At 36.1% G+C, this 25,210-nt stretch overlaps 1 protein-coding gene and 1 pseudogene across 4 annotated transcripts in view; both read right to left on the bottom strand.

Annotated features, from left to right (window-relative positions):
• Nucleotides 1-25,210, bottom strand: part of KCTD16 (potassium channel tetramerization domain containing 16) — a 314,814-nt gene that overhangs the window by 30,698 nt on the left and 258,906 nt on the right. The gene's annotated exons all lie outside the window — the stretch shown is intronic.
• Nucleotides 15,039-15,846, bottom strand: CKS1BP5 (CDC28 protein kinase regulatory subunit 1B pseudogene 5; annotated as a pseudogene).

The raw sequence follows: 25,210 nt of genomic DNA, 5'->3' as shown, positions 1-25,210 counted from the left end.
CCAATAATTTTTGTCTTTTTTGTCTGCTACTGTAGCCTTAGTGCCCAGAAGAATGTCTGCACATGTAGATACCAACCTCAAAATATATTTTGAGTAAATCAATGTATTGCACTGGATTTGGCCATTATATTTCTATCACCCTATTCCGTTTCAGGAAAACTTAAGTTCAACCGCTTTTTACAGGTCTAAATTTCTCCAAAATAGTCATCATACCTATAATGATACTTTCTTCTTTCTTGGAAAAAAAAACCCTCCTGGTAAAAAGTACTCTATACCCATAGGGTAAAGAAGAGAGGATAATAGGATGAAGCGTTTCCTTCTCAAAGTTGAGCTATCCATGATGGAGCTTTATGCATCCTGTCTTCCCAGAGAAACTGTAATGATATAAAAAAGTTTCTGATTCCAATTAGAAACCTAACCACAAACTTTAGCCTTATATCTATGAGGAAATATCTTTCCGATTTCATGTTGATATAATTCCAGAAATGTGGCCAATTTATAATTTGGAAATCTTAAGAATTTGGCTTCAAGAAGAATCAATATTCTGTATATATTATCAGGGGTGGAAAATGGTGTAGTCTTGGTAATAACAAACAGATACTTTCTGAGAAAACAGAGTTGATTTATTCCATTCCCATGTGAAAAAAGCAAAAACAATATATATAAAGTTGATATGGGTGTTTCTGGTTCTATGAATGCTCTGGTTTTATGAGAGATATGGAAGGTTCTGCATAAACTTGTTACTGAAATAAAACAGCTAAAGACTGATTGGGTGGGTAGCTTCCTGAATTCTGAGTTACGCAGCAAAATAATACATAGCACAAGGATTTGAGTTAACTACAGAGTTATCATACCTGTATATGTGCTTAAAGACTGTTGATTCATTGTTGATTTATCTAGCCAGTCTAGAACACTAATTAGAAAAATGTGGTGTCAACTTTCTCATCAAAAGAAATCTGAGAGGTTAATCACCCTTTATTCCATCCCTTATCTTTTCCCCATCTGCTAAGTTTACTGACTGGGCTCGGTGTTACACAGATAGTCTGAACATGAGGTCACCCTAGAGTAAACGGGGCCTCACTTCTGAAGCCGTAGGGAAATTAACTATTACAAAGGGTTGGTACATCTTTTAATCTCAGTCTCAGATTAAGGCCAGTCTAAAACCAGTAGAATAGGTAGCTACTATAAGATACGATATTAGAACTTTGATGGAGGCAGCCCTCTTCTATGTCAAAAAAAATACTTCTTTCACTAGCTGGTCAAGAATTCTACCATGATGAAAATAATAACTCTAACAACAATTACTCAATGCTGAATAGTTAATTAGTGGATTTTATGTAACTATAATGACATTTTATTTTTTATCGTGTAAAATAAATAATTATTTCTTCTATTTGCCAAATTAATAAATTGAGGTTCCTAGTAATTAAGATTTCTCAAGATTCTGCAGTTAATGTGGACTCATACTAGGGGCTTCTAACACTAAAACCCCTCATCCTTTCTGTTAAGGCATTTTGACTTTCAGACTCTTATGAAAATTCATACAGATCATAAAGACATCAAAGTGTTAAGGAGACACTGAAAACTCAGGCTGAAATCGCTTCTCTTCGGCATCAAGATAGAGGAAGACTAGAGGGATGGGATCAACTCATACTTAGGATCACTTTTGATCAGGGGAAAAGTGATGAGACTAAGACAGCTATACAGGCTTGTTGGGGATGTCACAGGGGACTCTGACGTGTCAGAGGCGACCAAGGGGAGGGAACCTGGGCATCACCTGAGGGAAAAGGGAGATGGGCACCAAAATGGAGGGACAAGGATGTAGAGAAAATGGCGGCCCTTCACCCTCTGCCCAGGACCAGTTCTAGTTACAGATCATGGCCCTAACCATGCCCCAAGATGTTGCCAACAGCTCTGTCCTCAGGAAGAAAGGGCTTCTCAGGACCAAACTCCTGCTTTGTGTGTTTCAGATACATTCCTCATTTTCTGTGCAACAGACTAAACGATTTTTACCAGCCACCTCCTCCAGCTCATGTATGATTAGTGAGATACGCTGAGGGTACCCGTATTGTTTCTCAAATAATAGTCTGCAAAGCACCTGGAACTTCAGAGAAAAGCAGCCTAATTCTCCACTGATGTGAGCACATGGGGAGGGTTCAGGTAGTCCTTCCCTATACTCTTGGTGTGAGGCTTCTTTTTTCCTTTTTTTTTTTTTATTCTTGCTTGGCCTTTATGTTCTATCTTCACAGTGATGACAGACTCTATTTTATTTTGGTCCAGATTTGGCAGCTGATTTGTCAAATGACCAAGGTCAACTGGTCATTTTCAAATGCTCAAAATGGATATCCCAAAATAATCCCCATATTTTTAAATAGAGATACTCTACTTTTATCTAGCAATGCTCTTTCCCGTCCATATTTTTAAATAGAGATACTCTACTTTTATCTAGCAATGCTCTTTCTCGTCCCTATTTCTCTCTTTCCCCTCTCACCTGTCTCTTGCTCCCCCCAATCCACTTCTCTCTCTCTCATATTAAAAATAATTAGGTATATGTTCGATGTGATTCACAATCCCTCTCTCCCTCCTTCTGCCAGTAAAAAAGATTGTTGTGTTATAACTGCCACCTTTGAGTCAGTATTTCATTTAGGTTTCATTTTCTTCCTTAATTCACCAATCCCATTTCTTAAAATTGGTTAAATTTTACATAGTATGTTCAAACATAGATTATCCTGGGAATCTGCCACATGTTCAATCTCAGGATCTCAGGGTTATGTGACATTCAGTGCTCCTCAATGCCAAACTACCTCTTAGAGAGTGACAGGAATATATATATATATATATAATATTATATATATTTAATGTGTTTTGGGAGCAGCGGGGTGAAATGTAATTTTCCACTCATTCTGATCAATGAGAAAATATTTAGAACCAGCTAAAGGCTTAGATGGGAGGTAAGAAATGTCTGTTTGTAACGCCAAAGAGAACAGAACTAGATAAATTAATATGCTGTGACAAATACAGTTTCACTCCTAAATGTAATTTCTTTCCCTCCCTCCTTCCCTTCTGAATATTCACCCTGATAAGGAAAATGTCTGAGGTCCTTCTTACAGTTAATGAATTAGGATACTCAAGAGAAGTTTCTCAGAATACCTGCTTCTGAGCCAGGGCATTGAAATGATGAAACCCCAGTTCCAAATTGCCTCAGGAAATGCAATGCATTCATGTTCCAAGTACAAAGTCCCTCAAACTCACTTTGAAAGTTTGCTTAGAGTCTAAATAAATCAAACTGAAAGACTTAATTATGAAATCTCAGAGGTGGTCATGAAAATAATAAAATGCCTGAGTTTCTGTTTCAATAGAAGTGTTAATATTTTAGCAGCTCCTAACTGCCTGCGTTCTATTTCACAATTCGTGATTAAACTTTGATTTTAATAGAGCTTCAAAAAAAAAGTGAGACTTTTGCTTCAGTTATTTGTTATAACACTGGCTTGTCATTTTTAACCTGTAATTAATGTCTTCTTCTTAGCCATTCTGTCTTGGAGAGGCAGAAACAGCACAGTTAAGGCTGAGGAATCCTGTGAGGTGACCTGGTCCATACCACACCCAAACAGACAAAGAATCACCATGTGGTCTCTTCTGTGGTATCTCTTCTGTGGTGTCTCTTATATCTCAGGTATAAGATTGAGAATAAAAATAACTTGGAGAAATTGACTACTCCACTTTTTAAAAAATCTGCTCTCTAATTTACTAGAGATGTCTTTTGGATTAAGGAGTAAAAAGAAGCAGGGTAAGTTGTTCTGAGAGACTCCAGCTTCTCCAATTCAGATGAAAAAATATATAGAGGGTAATAGATTCTAAAAATTCCTCAATGGAATATTTTTAATATTGAAGTATAACTGGTATATAAAAGCAGCTGTGCATATTTAACGTATGCTACCACAAACCACAAGCAAGATAGTGAACATATTCATCACCTCCAAAATTTCCTTGTGTTCTTTTGTCATTTTGTTGTTTTTATTTCTTTTTGCAATAAAAATACTTAACATGAGATCTACCCCCTTAACAAATGTTTAAGTGTACAATACCATATTGGTAATTATAGGCATTATGCTGTACATTAGATCTCTATAACTTTTTCATTTGCATAACTGAAATTTTTTACCCATTGAGCAGCAACTCCCCACTTGCTCCTCCCCTCGATACCTAGTAACTACCATTGTATTCTCTGCTTCTATGAATTTGACTACTTTAGATACCTCATTTAAGTGGAATTATGCAATATTTGTTCTTCTGTGAGTGGCTTATTTCACTTAGCACAATGTATTCCGGGTTCATCTATCACCCAAATGAGAAGATTTTCTACCTTTTTAAAAGGGTGAATATTGTTTCATTGTATGTATATGCCACATTTTCTTTATCCATTAATCTGTTGATGGGCATTTGGGTTTTTTCCATATCTTGAATATTGTGAAAAATGCCACAATGAATATGAGAGTGCAGATATCTCTTTGAGATCCTGATTTCAATTATTTTGAATATATGCCCAGAAATGAGATTGCTGGATCATATGATAGTTCTATTTTAAGTTTTTAAGGAAACTTCACATTGTTTTCTATAGCTGTTGCAACATTTTACACTTTCACCAACAGTGTAAAAGGGTTCCAATTTCTCCACATCCTTGCCAATACTTATTATCTTTTGTACTTTTGATAATAGTCATTTAACAGGTGTGAGGTGATCTCTCATTGTGGCTTTGACTTGCATTTCCCTGATATTAGTGATGTTGAGTGCCTTTTTATATACCCGGTGGCCATTTGTATGGTCACGTTTAGAGAAATAGCTATTCAGTTCTTTTTCCAGTTTTAAAATCTGATTATTAATTTTCTTGCTGCTTGGTTATAGAAATTTCTGATACATTTTGGATATTCATTCTTATCAGGTAAATGAGTTTTTCAAATATTTTCTCTCATTTTTAGGTTGCCTTTTCACTCTGCTAATCGTTTCCTTTGCCATGCAGAAGTTTTTTAGTTTAATGTTATCCCAATTGTCTACTTTTGCTTTTGTTGCCTGTGCTTTCAGTTCATATCCAAGAAAACATTGCCAAGACCAACATCAAGAAACTTTTCCCCTATATCTCCTTAGAAGTCTTATAATTTCAGATCTTATGTTTAAGTATAGTCCACTTTAAGTTGATTTTTTGTCTATGGTGTAAGATAGAGGTCCAATTTATTTGTTGAAAAGACTATACTTTTCCCTATTACATATTCTTAGCAAACTTCTCAAAGATTAGTTTACTCTGCATGGATTTATATCTAGGTTCTCTATTATTTTTATTGGTCTACAGATCCATCTTTATGCAAGTATCATACTATTTTAATTACCATAGCTCTGTAACATATTTTGTTTGTTTTCCATAAAGTTTTTTATTTATTTATAATTTCAACTTTTATTTTAGATTCAGTGGGTATGTGTGCACGTTTGTTACATGGGTATATTTTGAAACTAGGAAGTCTGATACCATCAACTTTGTTCTTTCACAAGATCACTTTGGTTATTTTGGGTCTTTTGTGGGTTAATATGGATTTTAGTATTTTTTTTCTACTTTTATAAAAAATCCATTGAGATTTTGATGGGTATAGTATTGAATCTGTAGACAGCTTTGCATAGTATGCACATTCTAACAATATCAAGTCTTCCAATCCATGAACACTAAATATCTTTGAGTCTATTTGTGTCTAATTTATTTCATTACGTTTTCTGGTTTTTAGTGTACAAATCTTTCACTTCTTTGGTTAAGTTTATACCTAAAGACTTGAAAAAGAGACCATCTGCTCTCTTAGAGGAGTACTCTCTAACTATACTTAACTTCTTTAAATTTATATGTACATATAGATATTGATTGCAGAAAATCAGAAAAGTCAGAGAAGAACACTGAAAATCTTAAAACCACCTATAATTCCATCACAAAAAGGTAACAATTTTTACTATTTTTGTGTAAATGCTCCCAGACTTTATATGATCCTCTTTCCACAACTGTGAAGATGAATCTATGATGTCATTTTTAATAATTTCAAGGTGGTTCCTTGATTGTACCAAAAGTTTATCATATATTAAACCAAGATGAATTACTTGCTATCTATTGAGACCTAATGTGATATAATAAAAGCCATTAGGAGGAAGTGGTTTCTCATTTTTCCTAAGGATGGAAGCATTAGGAAAAAGAGATTTGATTAAGAGAATATGGAGACAAGTCAAAATCTTTAATCCAGGGCTTAGCCTTTGGAATCATGATTTAATCTAAAACAGGAAGGTTCCTTAGAGCTGTCATTTTAAAAATATGCTTGCTCTTGTCTCTAATGCTGTTTTAATGCAACTGCTGATAAGAATCCACTCCTCGCAATACCAGAACCAAGCCAAGCATATTTTAAAGTGGCAGGTCTAATTTCCAACTTCAGCCTCAGTGTTACGAATATAAATCATCAACCAGAGAGGTAAACATGCTGTAGAGGTCCTGGTCAGTAACTTATCCTTCTCAACAAACTTTCCAAAGATCAAAACTTCATCTCCAAGAACACACAGAGGTAACCAGAGAGAGCTTAAGGCTCTTCTCCAAGTAGAAATTGGCTTAGACAGTTAGGGTTCAACACTGGGCCTAGTAGAGAGAAAGAAACAAAATCTAGATTTACAATGAATTGACCATTCTCCTTGCTCTATGTTAAAACCAGATACTTGTAATAATCTTTAGATCTTCTACCTTCATATAATAGGGTGATTATCAGGTGAATAGTCATTTGGAGGCAAGGCAAAATTCTAGGCAGAGACCAGTATAGGCAAAGAGACTACAGCATCAATGGGATAGTGAATTTTGGTAACTACAAGTAATTGGATATGACTGAAGCATGGACTATCTGTGAGCTTGTTAAACGGCATCACAATAGAGAGATGGAGCAGAAAAGAGCCAGATCAGATTGTAAAGGCCCTTCTAGTTAGTGGTCCTTAAACACTGAAATTACATGGAGAGTGTCAAAAATACTGATGCTTGGTCTCACCCTTAGAACTTCTAATTTAAGTGGTCTAGGGTATAATCTGAGCAACTGCATTGATAAAAGCACACTAGTTAATTCCAATAGAGAGCAAAGTTGGGGAACCATTCTTCTAGGTCATTATCAGAAGCACGTACTTCATCTAAAGATAATAGTAAATAAAATAATTATTTGTAAAGCATGGAAGTGTCATATTTAGACTTTATACTGTGTTTCATTGTTTTGTTTTTAGTTTATGTTGTATATGTATTTATTCATTCTTTCTTTTAACAAATAGTGAATATCTACCCTGTCTCAGACTCTGACACACATTTTTTTACTTTTCCTGAAAAAAATCCTCCTGTAAATTCCATGCATTTTCTTTTGTTTTTTCTTTTTTCTTTTTTTAAATTATACTTCCAGGTCTGGGATACATGTGTGGAACGTGCAGGTTTGTTACATAGGTATACATGTGCGATGGTGGTTTCCTGCACCCACCAACCCATCATCTACAGTAGGTATTTCTCCTAATGCTATGCCTCCCCTTGTCCCCCAGCCCCTGACAGGTCCTAGTGTGTGATGTTCCGCTCCCTGTGCCCATATATTCTTATTGTTCAACTCCCACTTATGAGTGAGAACATGCAGTGTTTGGCTTTCTGTTCCTGTGTTAGTTTGCTGAGAATGATGGTTTCCAGCTTCATCCACGTCCCTGCTAAGGACATGAACTCATTCTTTGCTATGGCTGAATAGTATTCTATGGTGCATATGTGCCACATTTTCTTTATCCAGTCTAACATTGATGGGCATTTGGGTTGGTTCCAAGTCTTTGCTATTGTGAACAGTGCTGCAATAAACATACGTGTTTATGCGTCTTTATAGTAGAATGATTTCTAATCCTTTGGGTATATACTCAGTAATGGGATTGCTGGGTCAGATGGTGTTTCTAGTTCTAGATCCTTGAGGAATTGCCACACTGTCTTCCACAATGTTTGAACTAATTTACACTCCCACCAACAGTGTAAAAGCATTCCTATTTCTCCACATCCTCTCCAGCATCTGTTGTTTCCTGACTTCTTAATGATCGCCATTCTAACTGGCACGAGATAGTATCTCATTGTGGTTTTGATTTGCATTTCTCTAATGACCAGTGATGATGAGCTTTTTTTCATATGTTTGTTGGCTGCATAAATCTCTTCTTTTGAAAGGTGTCTATTCATATTCTTTGCCCATTTTTTGATGGGGTTGTTTGTTTTTTTCTTGTAAATGTCTTTAAGTTCCTTGTAGATTCTGGTTATTAGCCCTTTGTCAGATGGATAGATTGCAAAAATGTTCTCCCATTCTGTAGGTTGCCTGTTCACTCTTATGATAGTTTCTTTCGCTGTGCAGGAGCTCTTTATTTTAATTAGATCTCATTTGTCAATTTTGGCTTTTGTTGCAATTGCTTTTGGTGTTTTAGTCATGAAGTCTTTGTTCATGCCTATGTCCTGAATGGTATTGCCTAGGTTTTCTTCCAGAGATTTTATGGTTTTGGGTCTTACATTTAAATCTTTATTCCATCTTGAGTTAATTTTTGTATAAGGTGTAAAGAAGGGGTCCAGTTTCAGTTTTCTGCATACAGCTAGCCAGTTTTCCCAACACCATTTATTGAATAGGGAATCCTTTCCCCATTGCTTGTTTTTGTCATAGACTTGTGTTTTAAAAAGATCACCATGTAGGATTTTGGGGGAAATGGCAGAATTGGCAGCATTGTTTTTAACCACTTCAAATACCCACATTTAAAAAAATCAACCAACTAACTAACAGAAGCAGAAACTCATGGACATATATGACACAATTAGCTGACAAAGTATCCCCACAAATATTAAAATACAAGCAGAAGGGAACAAATCATCTACAATCACAAGACCTACATGATAATGGCATCTGTATAGAAAGAAGAAAAAACAAGAAAGTAGGACTTAAAGCACTTGAGAATAGGACAACTCCCAAAGAGCCAGCAGATATGTACTGGAAAGCATAGTAAGCCAATTTAAGACCAAAAACAGAAACTGGGAGAGTCTCTCCCTAAACTAGACTGGAAGGATTGAAGCAGTTTAGCCCCCATAAGTCCTCAATACTGACTTATCAGGACTCTTTTCTAAGATGGGGCCAAATATTGAGAAAAAATATCTACTATGAGTAGAATAAAAATTAAACAAGATAGAGAGACCATAATGAAACAAAAAAAAAAGGTCTAGGCCAAAATGAGGAAGAGGAACAAAGCCAGGAAATCTCAGGAAGCAAGCAACTATGTTTTTGAAAATTATACCAAAATAACAGAAGGGGAAGTTCTGTGGAATTAAAAAATTTCCTGAACCCCACCTTATTCTAAATGTTCTGGGAACATAATCACATATAAATAAACAACATAAACTGTTAAGTTCAAATTCTATACAAAGATGTAATAGGAAAAGAGAAACTAAGTGACAGAATAACAATTTCCATACAAGGATGTTATAAGGAAAAGAGAAAAGTGAGCAGAATAACACTCTTCCAGACAATAAATTCATGCCAGAATGACATGCACATAAAGGAGATTCGAATTGCAGTCCACTGTTCCAAAATTCTCAAACGCATCCAGAATTGATACAAAACATGGAAGAGCAACACAAATTGGAATTAGAGAAGATTCAGATTTAGATGACAGTTGTTTATGAAAGAATTATAAGTAAAAGGATAAATAATTTAAGAAATGAAGACTAAACTGGAACAGAAGAGCACATAAACACAAAAGAGAATGTCTTAGAATTTAAAATTAAGAAGTTGAGATCAAAAGTGTCCTAGAGAAATGTCAAATATAAAAAGTAGGCCAAAAAATTTCATATATTTTCACATACATATAATAGGAGTCCCTAAAGAAAAAATGAGGCAAGGGAACAGAACAAATGCTAAAAAGAAAAATTTAATTGTCAAATATATATGTGTACATATATATGCATATCATATATAATATATGTAATATAACACTATTATAAATACTATATAGCATTATGTAATATATACTAGAATTGTATATTATATATACTATATTACACACATTTGAAAGTATTTATATATACATGCACACACACATATATATATATATATTACATTTTGAAAGAGCATACTATGGAGATCAGAATATCAATCTGGAATAGACGACAACAATATATTTCTAGTAAAATTATTAGACTTTTTGGAGAGGAAAGCATGTGTCTTATTAATGAAATAATATTAAATTATCATTAGATTTTTTGATAGTAAGACTTTATGCCAGAAGAAAATGTAGTATCACGTGGAAAATATTCAAGGAAAGAAAGTAGAAGCTAAGGGTTTTGTATCTAGCAAAACTCACATGTATAAAGGGCATAAACTATTAACTGTAAAATGTGAGGGCATCTTTTAAAAAAAACATTATTGAGGCATGACTGACGTACAAAAACTATGCATCTTTAACATATACAATTTGATGAATTTAGCTTAAAAGCTTTCTGGGAAATCTATAATAGAACAAGCCTTACTTAAATGACTAAAGAGGTGTTAAGATAGGGATTTGTGGTGAGCATTAAACACATATTTACTTGAAATGATGTTTTATTATTGAGAACCATGATTTTTGATGTGGAAGAAAGGAACCCAACTGTAATATAGAAGAGCTTAAGTAAACACTCCATAGTCTTTCATTTGAATTGGAAATATCGCTATGAACTGGTGAAGTGTTTTATCTTTGTGTGTGGAGGGGGGAGGGGTTGGGGTGGGGTTTGTTTGTGTATTTTGACTCTCTCTGCTAAAAAAAACATGAAACGATGGCAATCCCAGTAGCAGTGAGTATGCCTAGCACGAATATTGTTGTTTTGAAATGTTGCTTCTCAGTGAAATAAACCAGGCCTCCTTGGAGACAGTGGAATCCAGATCTGGTCAAGGAAACATACAAGATAATCCTGGAATACCCTATTACACCTGATAGCAAGAAAGTTATCAAAAATTACCAAAGTCATGTCAAAAAGACTAAGGATAAGTGCTTGAGGGGCTGGATATCCATTTTCTATGATTTGACTATTGCTTATTGCATGCCTGTATCAAAGTATCTAATGTACCCCATAAATATATTCACTTACTGTGTAAAAATAAAATAAGACAGCTATAGATCCTCAAAAAATAAAAAAGACTCAGAAGACAAGTTGAAGAGGCTCCCACTAGCCAAGGATAGAACAACTTGAGCTTCATAGTGATAATAATTATAATAGATTTAAGCCATCAAATATGTTTAAATCAATGAGTTCATGAGGATAATTTTTAATGTAACTTGTCACATATGGAGGATGACAGAAAAACACTTCATCATCTTGAAAATCAGTAAGTTAAGAGAAATATCAAGCTTTCACCTACCTTTCTTATATATACTATACTATTAAGATAAACAATAGTAAAAGAAGAGAAGCATCTCTTTATGAAAGCAGAAAATGAAAAATATAGTAGACAGAATTTCTAGAATGATGAAGTAAGAATACCACCAGACTCTCTCTCCAGAAAAAAAAAATAATGTATCTGGTGAAATTATTAAAAACAACTGTTAAGGTATTTAGAAATTATCATAATTGCATACACCAAATGGAGAAACATTTATTCAAGAAAAATTTACAAACTTTTGGTAAGAACAATGGACCTATGGCGTTTAAGCCATGACCTACTCCATTATGTGCCCTTCACCTCATAAGCTCCAAGTAATGGAAACTCTACCCCATTAGAGAAGTTTATAGTAACCTCACTTTCCAGATCCTAGTGTCAGGTTCCAGTTTCACGCAAGTAAGGGCAGCCTGCCTGCGTTTCTCATTCTCACTACTCCCCAGACACCGGTTGCAGAAGCTTGATTCTAGGCAAACAAGGCCAAGAGAACTTGAGCTCTCTTATTTTGACAAGTTCTATCTTGTATAAAGGAAGTTCTACTCAAACCATAACAGGCTGAAAATATTGAGGCCACAATTGCTTCATATCCAGCTTTCCCAGATGGTAGAGGTTCCTTGCCAAAAAGGAAAAAACAACAACAACAACAACAAAAACCAGGGACTTCCACTTGTATCCCTAGTACCTAGTATAGAGCAAAGGTGTCACTCAAAGAGCAGGTCTCCATGCTTAACCACCTTAGTTGTGGTTCTATAAAGTCAAAGAGATCCACAGCTCTACCTGAGGGAGCTGAACTTAAGTGAAACAGAGAGTGGAGAGTTTGATACCTAAGAGTGTTGTCAAAAACAATGGAGATCTTGGTGAAGAATGATTAAGAAGAGGCTGGTAACTCCAAAACAAGCAGAATTACAGAGCAACCAGAAAATAAGTCAAAATAATCAAAGGAAGGAACAAAAGAAGGGAGGGAGGCAGAAAGGGAGGGAGGGAGAAAAGAAGGAAGGAAAAGTTGGAAGGAGGGAGGGAAGGAGGGAAAGAAAAAGATAAATAGAAAGGCAGAAAGAACGACAGAAAGAAAGAAAGAAAGAAAGAAAGAAGAAAGAAAAGAGAAAAGAAAAGAAAAAGAATGAGAGCCAAGAAGAGCCTTCTTAATATCACAGTCAACTCTGCTAGTCACAAGGCTGTGGCATCTGGTACACAAGGCTGTGGCATGTGCTAGGAAGCATCCACTCAGAAGCAATAAGAGAAAAGATTTAGGACAGAATCAAAGCATGTCCAAAGCTTCACTCAGACACATCAACAGAAGCTGAAACCCTGCTAGCACAAAGGGCTTAAACACTACTTCTGACAAAATACTGGAAGACTAATAAGCTACTTTGATCCAAGGGCAGTAACAAAAACCAATACTACTAGCAATGAAGAGGGGTATTTTGTAATGATAAAAGGATCAATCTATCAGGAAAATCTAACAAATTTGAACATATAAATTTAAATTTAACAAAAGATGTGCAAGTCTTGTACACTAAAAACTGTGAAGTATTGTTGAAAGAAATTAAAAATATTAAACTTTTTTAAAATGTTGAAATGTTCGTGAATAGAAGACAATACTTTTAAAATGACAGTATTCTGCAAGTCAATCTACAGATTCAATGCAATCTCCAACAAAAATCCCAGATTTTTTTTTTTTTTTGCAGAAATTGTCAAGATGATCTTAACATTTATATAGAAATGGAAGGGATACAAAATTGCTGAAAGAAATCTTAAAAAAAAAAAAACAAATTTAGAGAACTCATATATCCTGATTTCAAAATTTACTACAAAGCTACTACTATAATCAAGACAGTGTGGTACTACATAAGGATAGACATATAAATAAATACAATACGACTGAGAATTCAGAAGTAAAACCTTATATCTATAGTCACTGATTCTCAGTACGATTACTAAGATAACTCAATAAGAAAAGAATAGTATTTTCAACAGATTGTGCTGGGACAACTGGATATCCACATGCATAAGAATGAAGTTGGAGTCTGACCTCATATCATAAACAAAAAGTAACTTAAGATATCGTTGTGCACATGTACCCCAAAACTTAAAGTATAATAATAAAATTAAAAAGGTAAAAAAATAAATCACAGACCTAAATGTAAGAGCTAAAAATAACAACTCTTAGAAGAAAACAAAAGTAAATCTTTTTGTCTTTGGGTTAGCCACCAATGGTTTATTAGATATGGCACTAAAAGCACAAGCAACAGAATGAGAAAATAGATAAACTGCATCAAAATTAGCAACTTTGTGCTGCAAATGATATCACTGAGAAAATGAAAAAGAAAACCCATGGAATTGGAGGAAATATTCACACATCATACATCTGATAAGGGATTTGTATCCAGAATATATAAAGAACTCACAACTCAATAAAAAAACATAGATAACCCAATGAAAAATGAACAAAGGATCCGAATAGATCCAAAGATCTACAGATAGTCAATAAACACATCAAAAAATACTCAACATTCATTCTCAGCAAACTATCGCAAGGACAAAAAACCAAACACCGCATGTTCTCACTCACAGGTGGTAACTGAACAATGAGAACACATGGACACAGGAAGGGGAACATCACACACCGGGGACTGTTGTGGGGTGGGGGGAGGGGGGACAGATCATTAGGAGATATACCTAATGCTAAATGATGAGTTAATGGGTGCAGCACACCAAATGGCACATGTATACGTATGTAACAAACCTGCATGTTGTGCACATGTACCCTAGAACTTAAAGTATAATAATAATAAAATAAAATAAAAAAACTCAACATTATTCATCATTAGAGAAATGCAAATCAAAACCACAGTCAGATTTTTTTTTTTTCAGTAGAGATAGGGCCTCATTATATCGCCCAAGCTGGTCTTGAACTCCTGACCTCAAGGAATCCTCCTGCCTTGGCCTCCCAAAGTGCTGGGATTACCGGTGTGAGTTGCTGAACCATGCCACAGTGAAATATTACTTCACACCTACTAGAATGGCTAGGCTATCAAAAAGTCATATAATAATAAGTACTAATGAGGATGTGAAGAAATTGGAACTCTTAGGCATTGGAGGTGAAATGTGAAGTGGTGCTGGCAATTTGGAAAACAGTTTTTCAGTTCATCAAAAAGTAAAACATAAGAGTTACCATATGACACAGCAATTCCACTTCTATTTTCTGCAGAAAATACAAAGGACGATGGCGCATAGTGAATTGTATCATGCATTTGCAATCAGCCACATCCAAACTGTGAGAAACTCCATAGTTCAAACAGCCTGTGTTTTCAACAGATACATTTTAAGACAAAATGATGAGGGATAAGTATAAAACTGTCAAGGAAATGTTTAGTATAAAAGTCGGTGTGGTGGACAAAGGGGTTGTGTTTGAAATGTGGTGCACAGAAGGGGCTTCCAGAATGTCTAACCGAGTTCTATTTTCTGACCTGGTCATGGTTAGGTTACAAGATGTTTGCCTTAGAATAATTCATTAAGTAATGCATTTTGCTCTGTGACATTTTCTGTGTCTGTTGTTAGTGGGCTTTTTTAAATATGTTTTTTTTTTTTTAGATTATGAAAACTTTCTCTTTAATCAAGGATTTTAACATGAACAGACTTCTTGAATAATATGGAAAGTTTCCAATATATTGAATCATAAATCCACAAGTCACCATACATACAACACCCGGCAGGAAAAAAACAAAAACAGCAAGTTTACACGATACCTGTAACAGCCATGATCTTAATCTCAGACGCTTCTTCCAGCTACCAAGTGTGTTCTGGATACAGAGCACACCATGGCTTCTGGGGTCACACTCAGCTGAGGCTGTGGCCCACAGAGCACTCATCTCTCTGGGCTGTGGTGGTGGTGGCTCTACTGAAGAAGCAAAACTGTTACCAGCACATTCAAAAAGCGTGTTGAACATCTTTTAAATATCAAAGTGAGAAACAAGAAGGCAAAATAATAGTGTTATCAGAAAGATGTTAGGAAGCAAGGACAGCTGTGTAAAGCTCGAGGCTGGAAGGTGACTTGCCAACTTCATTTACCATCTGGCTTCTTGGGTAGCGGGCACTGGAATAGTAAGATGTGAGGCTCTGGTTCATGGTTCATATAATGGACTCATCCCTGACTCTGCTGAATGCCAAGATTCCTCCATTCAGATTCATACTCTGCTGAACTCCAAGATTCCTCCATTCAATTCAAGTGGGTTTTAGGGACCAGCTTGGCTATGTCCTTGGGCAACATGACATGCCAATACTCAAACCCCTCATCATTGTATTTCTCCAAATAGTAAATTTATTTATGCGATATGATCGCTGTGTCTGCAAGCTTTCAGCCCCACACCGCCAACATCCAAGCAACTCCCAGCAGCACCAAATATTTTTTAATGAATTAAATAAATAATTACTCTGGAAGTAATGTGGGGAAGAGATTTTGAATTTCAGTAAGATAAGATTAGAACCAGAAAAAAAGAAAAAAAAAACAGATGAAATTAGAACGAGGAAGGAACATGTGCAAGACACAGAGGAAGTTAGGAATATATATGAATCTTCCAAAGAGGCAAATTAATAGAATTTGGTGTCTAACCGAATAAGGAGAGTGAGGAAGAGGTAGAAGATGGTGACTTACAGGCTTTTTGGCTTAGATCAACATGAGTCAAAAAACACAGGATAAGTACATCCTTTCTCTCACCCCTGACAAGCTTTGACTATTGATTTTCCCTGTCCAGTGGCCTGGTAACAGAAAACATACTTTCTGTCCTTGGTCTGGTAACAGAAAACATACTTTCCTTAGCAACCCATTCTCAGTCCATAGGCTTCAAGTGGCTGTCTCCACCTGTGCTCTAAGGAGAGCTGGAGAGGCCAGTGACCCAGCCTATGTTTTCAAAAGATACAGAGCATCCTGCATCAACCACAGTGATTGATGCAGGTATGAGAACATGACCCAAGCTAGGCTTATTAGAATTGAGTGGATGAGCCCGCCTCCTCTCAAAGCTCTAGGTTTATTACTGTGGCTACTATGAAATAGGAACTTGTCTAGGAGTGATACCCACACAGCAGAAAACAGAGCGGAGACAGATGCACAGAGTCAACACGTATGCTCATACAGAGTGTTAATGACATTGATTTAGTTTCTGGATACAGGCAGGCCTGAAGACAGTCTATTCCTGTGCTTTTCAGCTATGTGTGAGTCATTATATTCCAATTTTTCCTTTAAAAGCAGATTGAATAAGATTTCTGTCAATTAAAAATGAAAATATCTTGACTAACGCAGGATCAAGGAACATTGTACTGTTTCCAGACTTACTCATACAAATGCTCTAGTGCTGGCTAATAGAAATATAATGTGAACCACACATCTAATTTTAAGTTTTCTAGTAGCCGCATTTAAAAAAGTAAAAATAAGTGCATAAAATTAATTTTACTAATATATTGTATTTAATATACATAAAATCATTTCACACGTAATCAATATTTTAAAAATTATTACTTTACATCTCTTTTGTAATGTAAAGTACATTTCTAAGTCTTTGAAATCTACTGGACAGTTTAAACTTAAAACATCTCAATTTAGAATAGCCACATTTGAAGTGTCCAATAGCCACATGCGGATATTGTAATGAGCAGCAAAGATCTACGCCATTCCCTACCTTTTCCCAGCAAAGTCTGCCTTCTCTTGAGTCCTATTGCTAGCATCCCAGAATTGACAGGTACATTAAAAGTCGTGTGGTCAACCCTCTCATTTTATAGGTAAAGAAAATAATAATGATCTATACTAATGAAAGTAAGTTAGTTTCAGAGCTGGAATTCATAAAAAAATAGGAAAAACAACGGCTGGATATTGAATAGTTACTACCTGTACATGTTGATATTGGTTTGTTTGTTAGGTTTTGTGTTTGTGTTTGGCTATCCAGTATTAACTCTTTCCTATCTGGGGAAATCAATAATATTAATAGATAATATCTAGTGAGTATATTATATGTCAGATGCTATTTTGAGAACTTGACAAATATTGACTCATTCAATCCTCAGAGTGACCCTAATGAGGTAAGTATCTTAATCCTCATTTATCTATGAAGAACAAATAAATTAAGACATGGGACTGGGATTTGAAACTAGGCTTTTGGATCCTGAATCCACACTATTAACCCATCCATTACTGCTGCTCCGTGGTCTTGCTGAAGGCAGCAACATGTTTCCCATTGTAGAGGCCCAATGGGACATTTACTCCTTCTCCCTGTTCTCTGGCAGCTTGGGTACTTAACTCAGGCTTGGTGAGTTGATTACTCCCAGAAATTCACACCTGAGGGAGATGATGCAAATGCAAAAGATACATGAGGATTTATTCATCATGGAGGACAGCAGCCGGGACACCTGAGTCAGATCATACCTGTGGCCTAGCCTGTTGAGGACCTGAATTCCTGCCTGTCTTCCAAAACCGAATCTACAGTTTCCTGGTTTTCTGTGAAGTCCTGATGTCCTTTCAGTAACATTCTTTTTGCTTAAAACTTCCAGAGTCCATTTTTATCATCAACAGCCAAGAATGTTGATTAATACCAGTAGTACATATTATTATAGTCATTTTACACAAAAAGAAACTTAATCCTTAAAAAGTAAAACACTTTTGCTTCGGCCGGGCCTGGTAGCTCACACCTATAATCCTGGCACTTTGGGAGGCCGAGGTGGGAGGATCACGAGGTCAGGAGTTCGAGACCAGCCTGACCAACATGGTGAAACGCCGTCTCTACTAAAAATACAAAAATTAGCTGGGCGTGGCGGCATGCTCCTGTAATCCCAGCTACTCAGGAGGGTGAGGCAGAAGAATAGCTTGAATCTGGGAGGCAGGGGTTGCAGTGAGCCGAGATAGCACCACTGTACTCCAGCCTGGGTGACAAGAGCGATACTCCGTCTCAAAAAAAAAAAAAAGAAGTTAAACACTTTCCCCAATATTTTCTAGGAAGTAGTTGGCAAAACTGGAATGTGGACACAGGCCTAGTAGGTAGTCTCCAACTACCTGCTATTCTGGACTAGAATCTAGGTCTCCTGAACCCAGAATCCTTTCTCTTTCCGTGAGGCCAATCCTCTAAGCCATGAACAATAGCCTTACAAAATGAGGTCAGAGGGTTAAAATAAAGTGAACAGTGTTTTACAGGGTCCCTAAAAATTAAATCCTAAGTGGAGCATGCTTAACACTGTTACAGAGCCATGAAAGAGGTATTTAGGGCACCAGATCATATTAATCATAATAAGTAGTTAGAAGTCAATCCCATCTGCCACTATGCCAGGTCTGCCTGCCCCAAAGTGTAAACATTTATTAAGTCCCACAGGATTTAGCTTTAGCCCAACAGAGAGGAAGAAAAGAATTGAGACTTGGACAGCTTCCACCTTGTAGTCACATCTGCACAACAGGTCACCTAGTTAAAACTAAAGTGGTTCCCACAGGGAACTAGAAAGAGCGGCTCTATAAATATGCTCCTACAAGCACAACTGTTCTTTACCCCTTTGGTGTGGGATGGCTGAAAGCAGTGTACCAGAAAATGCTGGAGAATGGACTCTAGGCCAGTAAAATAGCAGAGAAATGCTGAAGTACTGAATGTAGGACAGAGGAGACAACATAACAGTTACAGAATTCTTGGAGAATGGCATCAGAATAAAACTACACACACACACACATACACACACACACACACACAGGAAAGCGCACACACACACACAAAGCACACAAAAACAACCACCACCACAAAACAAAATCACCTCTACCAAGGATGGCAAAAGCACAAAGAGAAGGAAATTGTCTGATACTATTACAAGGCGGTGTAAATAACCCCAACTTCTTTGAAAGACAATTGGCAATATTTATCAACATTTTAAATATATAGGTCCTTTGTCCTAGCAATCCCATTTCCGGTAATATAGAATAGTATATGTGCAAGAATATTTATTGCAGAATTTTGTTTGTAATATCTAATAATGGCAATAAACACAATATTCCTTAAAAGGAGACTGATACTTACAGTATGTTCACATTTTGAAATATAAAACATACTTTGAAAAAGAATGAGGTAGTTCTATATTTAAAAACATGAAGTGATATTCATGATAAACTGGTGTAGGGAAAACCAAGTGGCTGAATAATATAGTAGATAGATTTAAACCAACAGATACAGTGATCTGGAAAGACATTGCTATCAGCAACTTATTCAGATCTCACAACAAATCTACGGGTGATACTACTGTTATCTTTGATTTATAGATAAACAAATGAAGCAATTTACAGACAGGTAAAACGCCCTAGCTAAGGTCATAGCTATTCAATAAAATGGAGCGGGTAAGGGGGCTATCAGGGCTTTTAAAATATAATCCACTTTGTTTTATATTTTTCTTGAATGAACTGTAATTTTTTATGAAGCTAAAAAGGATCACAAAAACTTTTTTAAGAAACCAATAAAAACCATGGACCCACGGGTTCTTGACATTTGCCTCTGGCCACTTCCCCTTCTAAACTTCACAGCACATCTTCTAGCTCCCTTCCTCATGCGCCTTCCTCTTCCACTTTGAAGGGACAGAAAGAACTCAGCTCCTCTTGCTTCTGCAGAGAGATATTTCCACCATCTAACAGCCTTCATCATTAGGAAATAAGCATTCATATTAAGACCAGTGATTCCTTGGCTCCCACAATGTTGTCTCCCACAGTGTCACAATTGTATTTGCGCTACAGGAAAGAAAAGTGTTTCACATGACCTATTCAGTGATAATAACCACCTCTATGATCCAGCTGTATTATGACATATTTTAGATACTGATTAGGCCAATATTCTAATCACTTCAACAAGAATGAAGGAGTAGGCTTTGGATGATTGTTTTAAAACATCATTAGGTTTGTCCAGTTACAATCAACTCCTTTGTATCATACCAAAAATGTATAATGTATAACATTACCTGAAAACTGATGGAAAAACATGGTAACTATTAATAAATGAGATGAAGCACAGAACCAATGGAGCCTAATTTTCCCTCCCTCTGGCCTTTTAAAAGGATTGCCGTAATCTATATGAGCAGTTGTATCCCATGAGTTACACACCCCTCCCTCATTCAGGATCCTCATACTGAATATTATGATGTCTATGAATATTATTATGTCCCTCTGTGAAATACAATTAATTTAGCTATTAATTCATCAACTAAAAAGCACGTGACTACCTCTAATATCTAGTAAAGGTAAATCATTTCCTAGCTTGGGAGTAGACTTCCAATTCTAAAATGAGAGACAAAAACCACCCAGAAAGGTAAATCTTCCCACACGGTCAGCTCAGTCTTCAAGGTTAATTATGTCCGAACAATAAAGATTTAACAACCCTAGAGACAAGCTGACTGTAACAGGTGAGTAATCTCCCAGCTCAGACTGGCTCAGTGGATCCTTTAGTTTCATTGAAGAAAGCAATTAGCTTTCAGTGTGCTAGGAAGTGGGAAACAGTTTCACAGATTAGTAGAGCTGAGGGCTCTGTCTGCTGGTGAAGTTGGTGTGTGGCAAGAACCACTTCTCGAGTTCTTTCTGGGCCAGCATAATCAGTGGCTGATAATATAATACACAGGGGCAGCTGCCTCACAGAATGCATTATCAGAAAACCCTGATGGCAGTGACTATAACAACAACAAAAGATGTATACCACCACATTGTTTTTCACAAGCAAAAGAGTATGATGTAGTATTTAGAGCAGAAAAACAAGGCTTTAAGGACTTCAAACATCATCATTATCGTAGACACATTAACTCTACCAGGCATGTAAGAAGGAACAAGGGGATATAATAAAGCTGAAGTAGGAGGACCTTATCACAGTCTACTTGGGAAGCCAGTGAAGGTGAATGTGACATCACATGCTGGTTTTCTATGTTTAAACTTCAAATAGGTGATAATGCCAGAGGTCAAAAACAAATGGTTGAGAAACTTCATTTGGCCTGCCTGCATACATGTTTTGTTTGGTAAGCATTTTGCCTAAATCTCAAAAAATTGGTCATTTTAAAAAAATCAGATGTTATATGAAAATCTAGAGTTACAGTTTTTCTTGAAAAAATCAGAAAATCCGGTGTCTCTGCACTACCATGGATTCATGTAGCAATTGTCTTAAGGGGAGTAACGGCTGGGCCTCTAAGTCCCATTCAGTACAGTCTGTGCCAGTCCATATTGCCTCATGCCACCAGGGATGACCATCAGTTGCAGTTTATCGCTGCACTTGACCTGTTATTTTCTAATAACAGAGAAAGAGTTCTCTGTTCTCAGGTCCCTATCCAAAGCTAGAAAACAGAAGGTGGCCAAAAAAGCCAAGTAATTCATTTACATTTTTCTTACTCCTGACCTCCTACACTTACTATTCTGGCTTCTGTAGGTATTTCGGTTTGTGATGCCTACTGTGACAGGTAAGAAGATAGAAGAGCAGGTTTTCAAAGTCCCACAGACTTAGGTACACACGTGGTTCTGCCACTTTATATTGTTTGGTCTTGAATAAATCATTTAATCTCTCCACTAATCTATTATCCCATGAGTAAAATGGAAATAATTTTGGCAATGATGTCTACCTCCTATGTCAACTGTGAAGATTAAATATATGTGTATTAAAAATTAAAAATATGTTTATTAAAAGATTTAAAATATGTTGTGTGTGTGTATGCATACATATAGACATATATAGGTAGCTGGTACATAAAACAAACATAAAAAGCTGTAAATAAAAAAGAAAGTCTAGGGCAATTCAAGAAAATTTGGCATTCACAGAAGAAATAATAAAATTACATTAGCAGAGGAAAGCAATTTGTTTGGGTAAACTGAATAGTTTTATCAGTACTCTGTTTTTCCCTGATATATACACACACACACACACACATTTAGTGTTATGTTTTTGTCTTTGCCACTGGAATATGAATCTGATCCAATATAAGTCATTCAGTCTTGCCCAGGTGTACCACTGCTATGTTATGGTCATTGATATATAAAGTGTTTTTCAAAGATATCATTTCAACAAGTCCTGATAACATATGTGTGCTTGAAAAAGTTTACTAAAAATGTTACAAAAGACAATTTCCCTTCTACTGGCTACTAGCTAGATGACTTTGAGAAATTTACTTCTCTGAATCTGTTTCTTCATCTATAAAATGGGTATAATAATTGTTTCTTAAAGGGTTGTAGTGAGGCTTACTTGGCACAAGGTTTGTAAGCACTTATTAATGTTCCTACCACATAAAAGGAGCTAAACACTAGTAATCCCATTTACTTTCCTTCTAGTGATTAATTTGAAAAGTATCCTACTCAGATTAAAAAGGAAAAAAGATAATATTGGTTTCATTATAAAATGAAAATCAGAGTAAGTCAAACCCCAGTGAAATGGCATGAAGACCTAAATGTATATATTGCCAAACAGCATCTGTTTGCAAGGTGCATTAGAATAGTGGAAAAAGAAGAAAGTACCACATCATCTATTTCATTTTTATTGAATTATAGAGTACACATAGCTCTTTTCATTGCATTAGAAAATGAGTGCTTAAAATGATTTACATATTGAAAAAATGTCATAGAGGAAATTTAGTTGTGATTCCTAAGACACATGGTTTGGTGTTAACATTTTCCATTACTTTTTATATTATGGTATGCAATACTCTTCAAAATGTTTGTAAGCCCAGGCAATTTTTCCATGAATCACTAACGTACAAATAATTCAAGTTATTGAGTGCATGTATTATCTATTTTGTACATAGTATTGTGTCGGAATAAAAACAAGTAAAATACGAGCTTTGTCTCCCACTGCCAACCCTCTAGTGTAATGTTTCTTAAACTATGCTGCTGGAACCACCTGCATCAGAATCACTAGAAGAGGGCTTTAATAATGCAGATTTCTTGGCTCCTCTCACAGACTCAGGGACCAAAAATTTTGTGATGTGGACCTGGCAATCTGCATTTAAACACATTCCAGGCAATTTGTGTGCACTCTAAGACTTAAGGGCCACTCATCTGTTAAAATCAACTGAGTTAAAGAGCCAAACTTGATTCCATTAGTAAGCTGTGCACTGGTAAATTATTTAACTACACACTAGAATATGAAAAGCACTACAGCTGACATAGACTTTAAGTCGGTCATTCAAGTACCTCATTGTATTTGTGAAGAAGCTAAAGCAAGTCTCTTCATCTTGCTCAAGTTACTATGTAACACAATTATTATCATACTGAAGTAAAACATACGATCAGTTATTTAAAAAAGAAGAACAATTCCTGATTTTCTTTTACTGAATGGACTAAACATGTTAAATGGATATGCAGGTAGGCTATTACCTGCTAGTTAGTTTTGACAGAGGCAACTTCATTTAAATATGCAATGAGTTTTTTTCTAATTTCTCAATTCATAATTAGTGGTATTTTAGCATCCTGAGAAAGTACCATTGCATTTAATCTCAAGGGTCCTTAATCTGGAATTCATGATCATGGAGAGCTTTCTTGGGGCTATACGTTTGGTCTTCAGGAGGACTATGGAATCCCTGAAACTGTATGCAAAATATGGAATATTTATGTTATTTAGGATAAGGGTCTGTGGCTATTATTAGATTCTCAAGGAGGCTTATGCCTTAAAAAATAGCTGCACAGCACTATAAAATGAAAGACTAGGAAAGCAATGTGCAGAAAACTCATTCCAGGGATGTTGCCAGTGAAAATTGAGAGACCTTCTGTTTGGTTGGAGAGATGGGAGGCTGGATCAGTATCCTCACACTCTTTCCCAGGGGGATCAAAAATGCATCATCTGTCACATGGAAAAATCCTGGCAAACTAATTCCCACTAAAGCACTAACGACAGATGATGGCTTAACATGTTACCTGTCTTATTGCTTGAAGTCTTTCCCACTGAATCCAGACACAACCCTTCTCACTGCTAATTGATCAGAATTGGCACATGTGGCAAAACAATTTGCCATCCCTAATTTAATTCAATCTCTCTCATTTTAGCAATGAGGAACTTGAGGTCCAGAGAGGTGAATTGACTTGCCTGAGGCCACATAGCAAGTTGGTGTCAGAGCCTGGCCCGGAAGCCAACCCTTTTGGCTCCTACTAAAATGCATCTGCCACAGGCAAACTCACAAGCACAGAGAACTCATCTTCCCTCACACCACCTGAACCTTACCCCACTCCTTTCCTTATCATTCTATCCTCCTGTTCTCTGCCATCTTGATTTGACAGCAATTCCCATTTCAAATTTCTCATATTTTTATTTTTAAAAAATAATGGATTTTGTCTGTGTAATATAAAATGAAACTCATTGGTTAGTGCAAGATAAGTATGCTTGCCAAGTTGGAAGGGAAAATGAGGTCTCTGTTGTTGACTTGCTTTGTTAAGAAAAAACAATGACCACACAAGGGCTTACACAGGTACGATGCCCCTGAAGATATCATATAGATTCAGCTAGCTTGCACATTCATATTGTACCACCTGTTCTTTTCCCATGACTATAATTCCAGTCAACTTGTAGCCTCATACATTTGTTATCCTATAAAAAGCTAGGCCTATCTGCTCTCTGCTCAGCCCATTTTCTTCTTTTCCCTTTCTATTTCTCCTCCTTTCCTTCTTTTCAATTTTTTTTCACCTTTTGCTTTGGTCTTTAGATTTAAAGGTATTTATGAACATGTCTGACTTCCCTGACAGGATGTAACTTCCTTGGCGGCACTGTATATTCCTGTCTGCCTTGTTCACCTTTGTATTCCTT

Source organism: Homo sapiens, chromosome 5, assembly GCF_000001405.40.
Source record: "Homo sapiens chromosome 5, GRCh38.p14 Primary Assembly".
NCBI classification, from domain to species: domain Eukaryota; kingdom Metazoa; phylum Chordata; class Mammalia; order Primates; family Hominidae; genus Homo; species Homo sapiens.
Note: the sequence above shows the minus strand (reverse complement) of the source record. Positions and strands in the feature narration are given on the sequence as shown.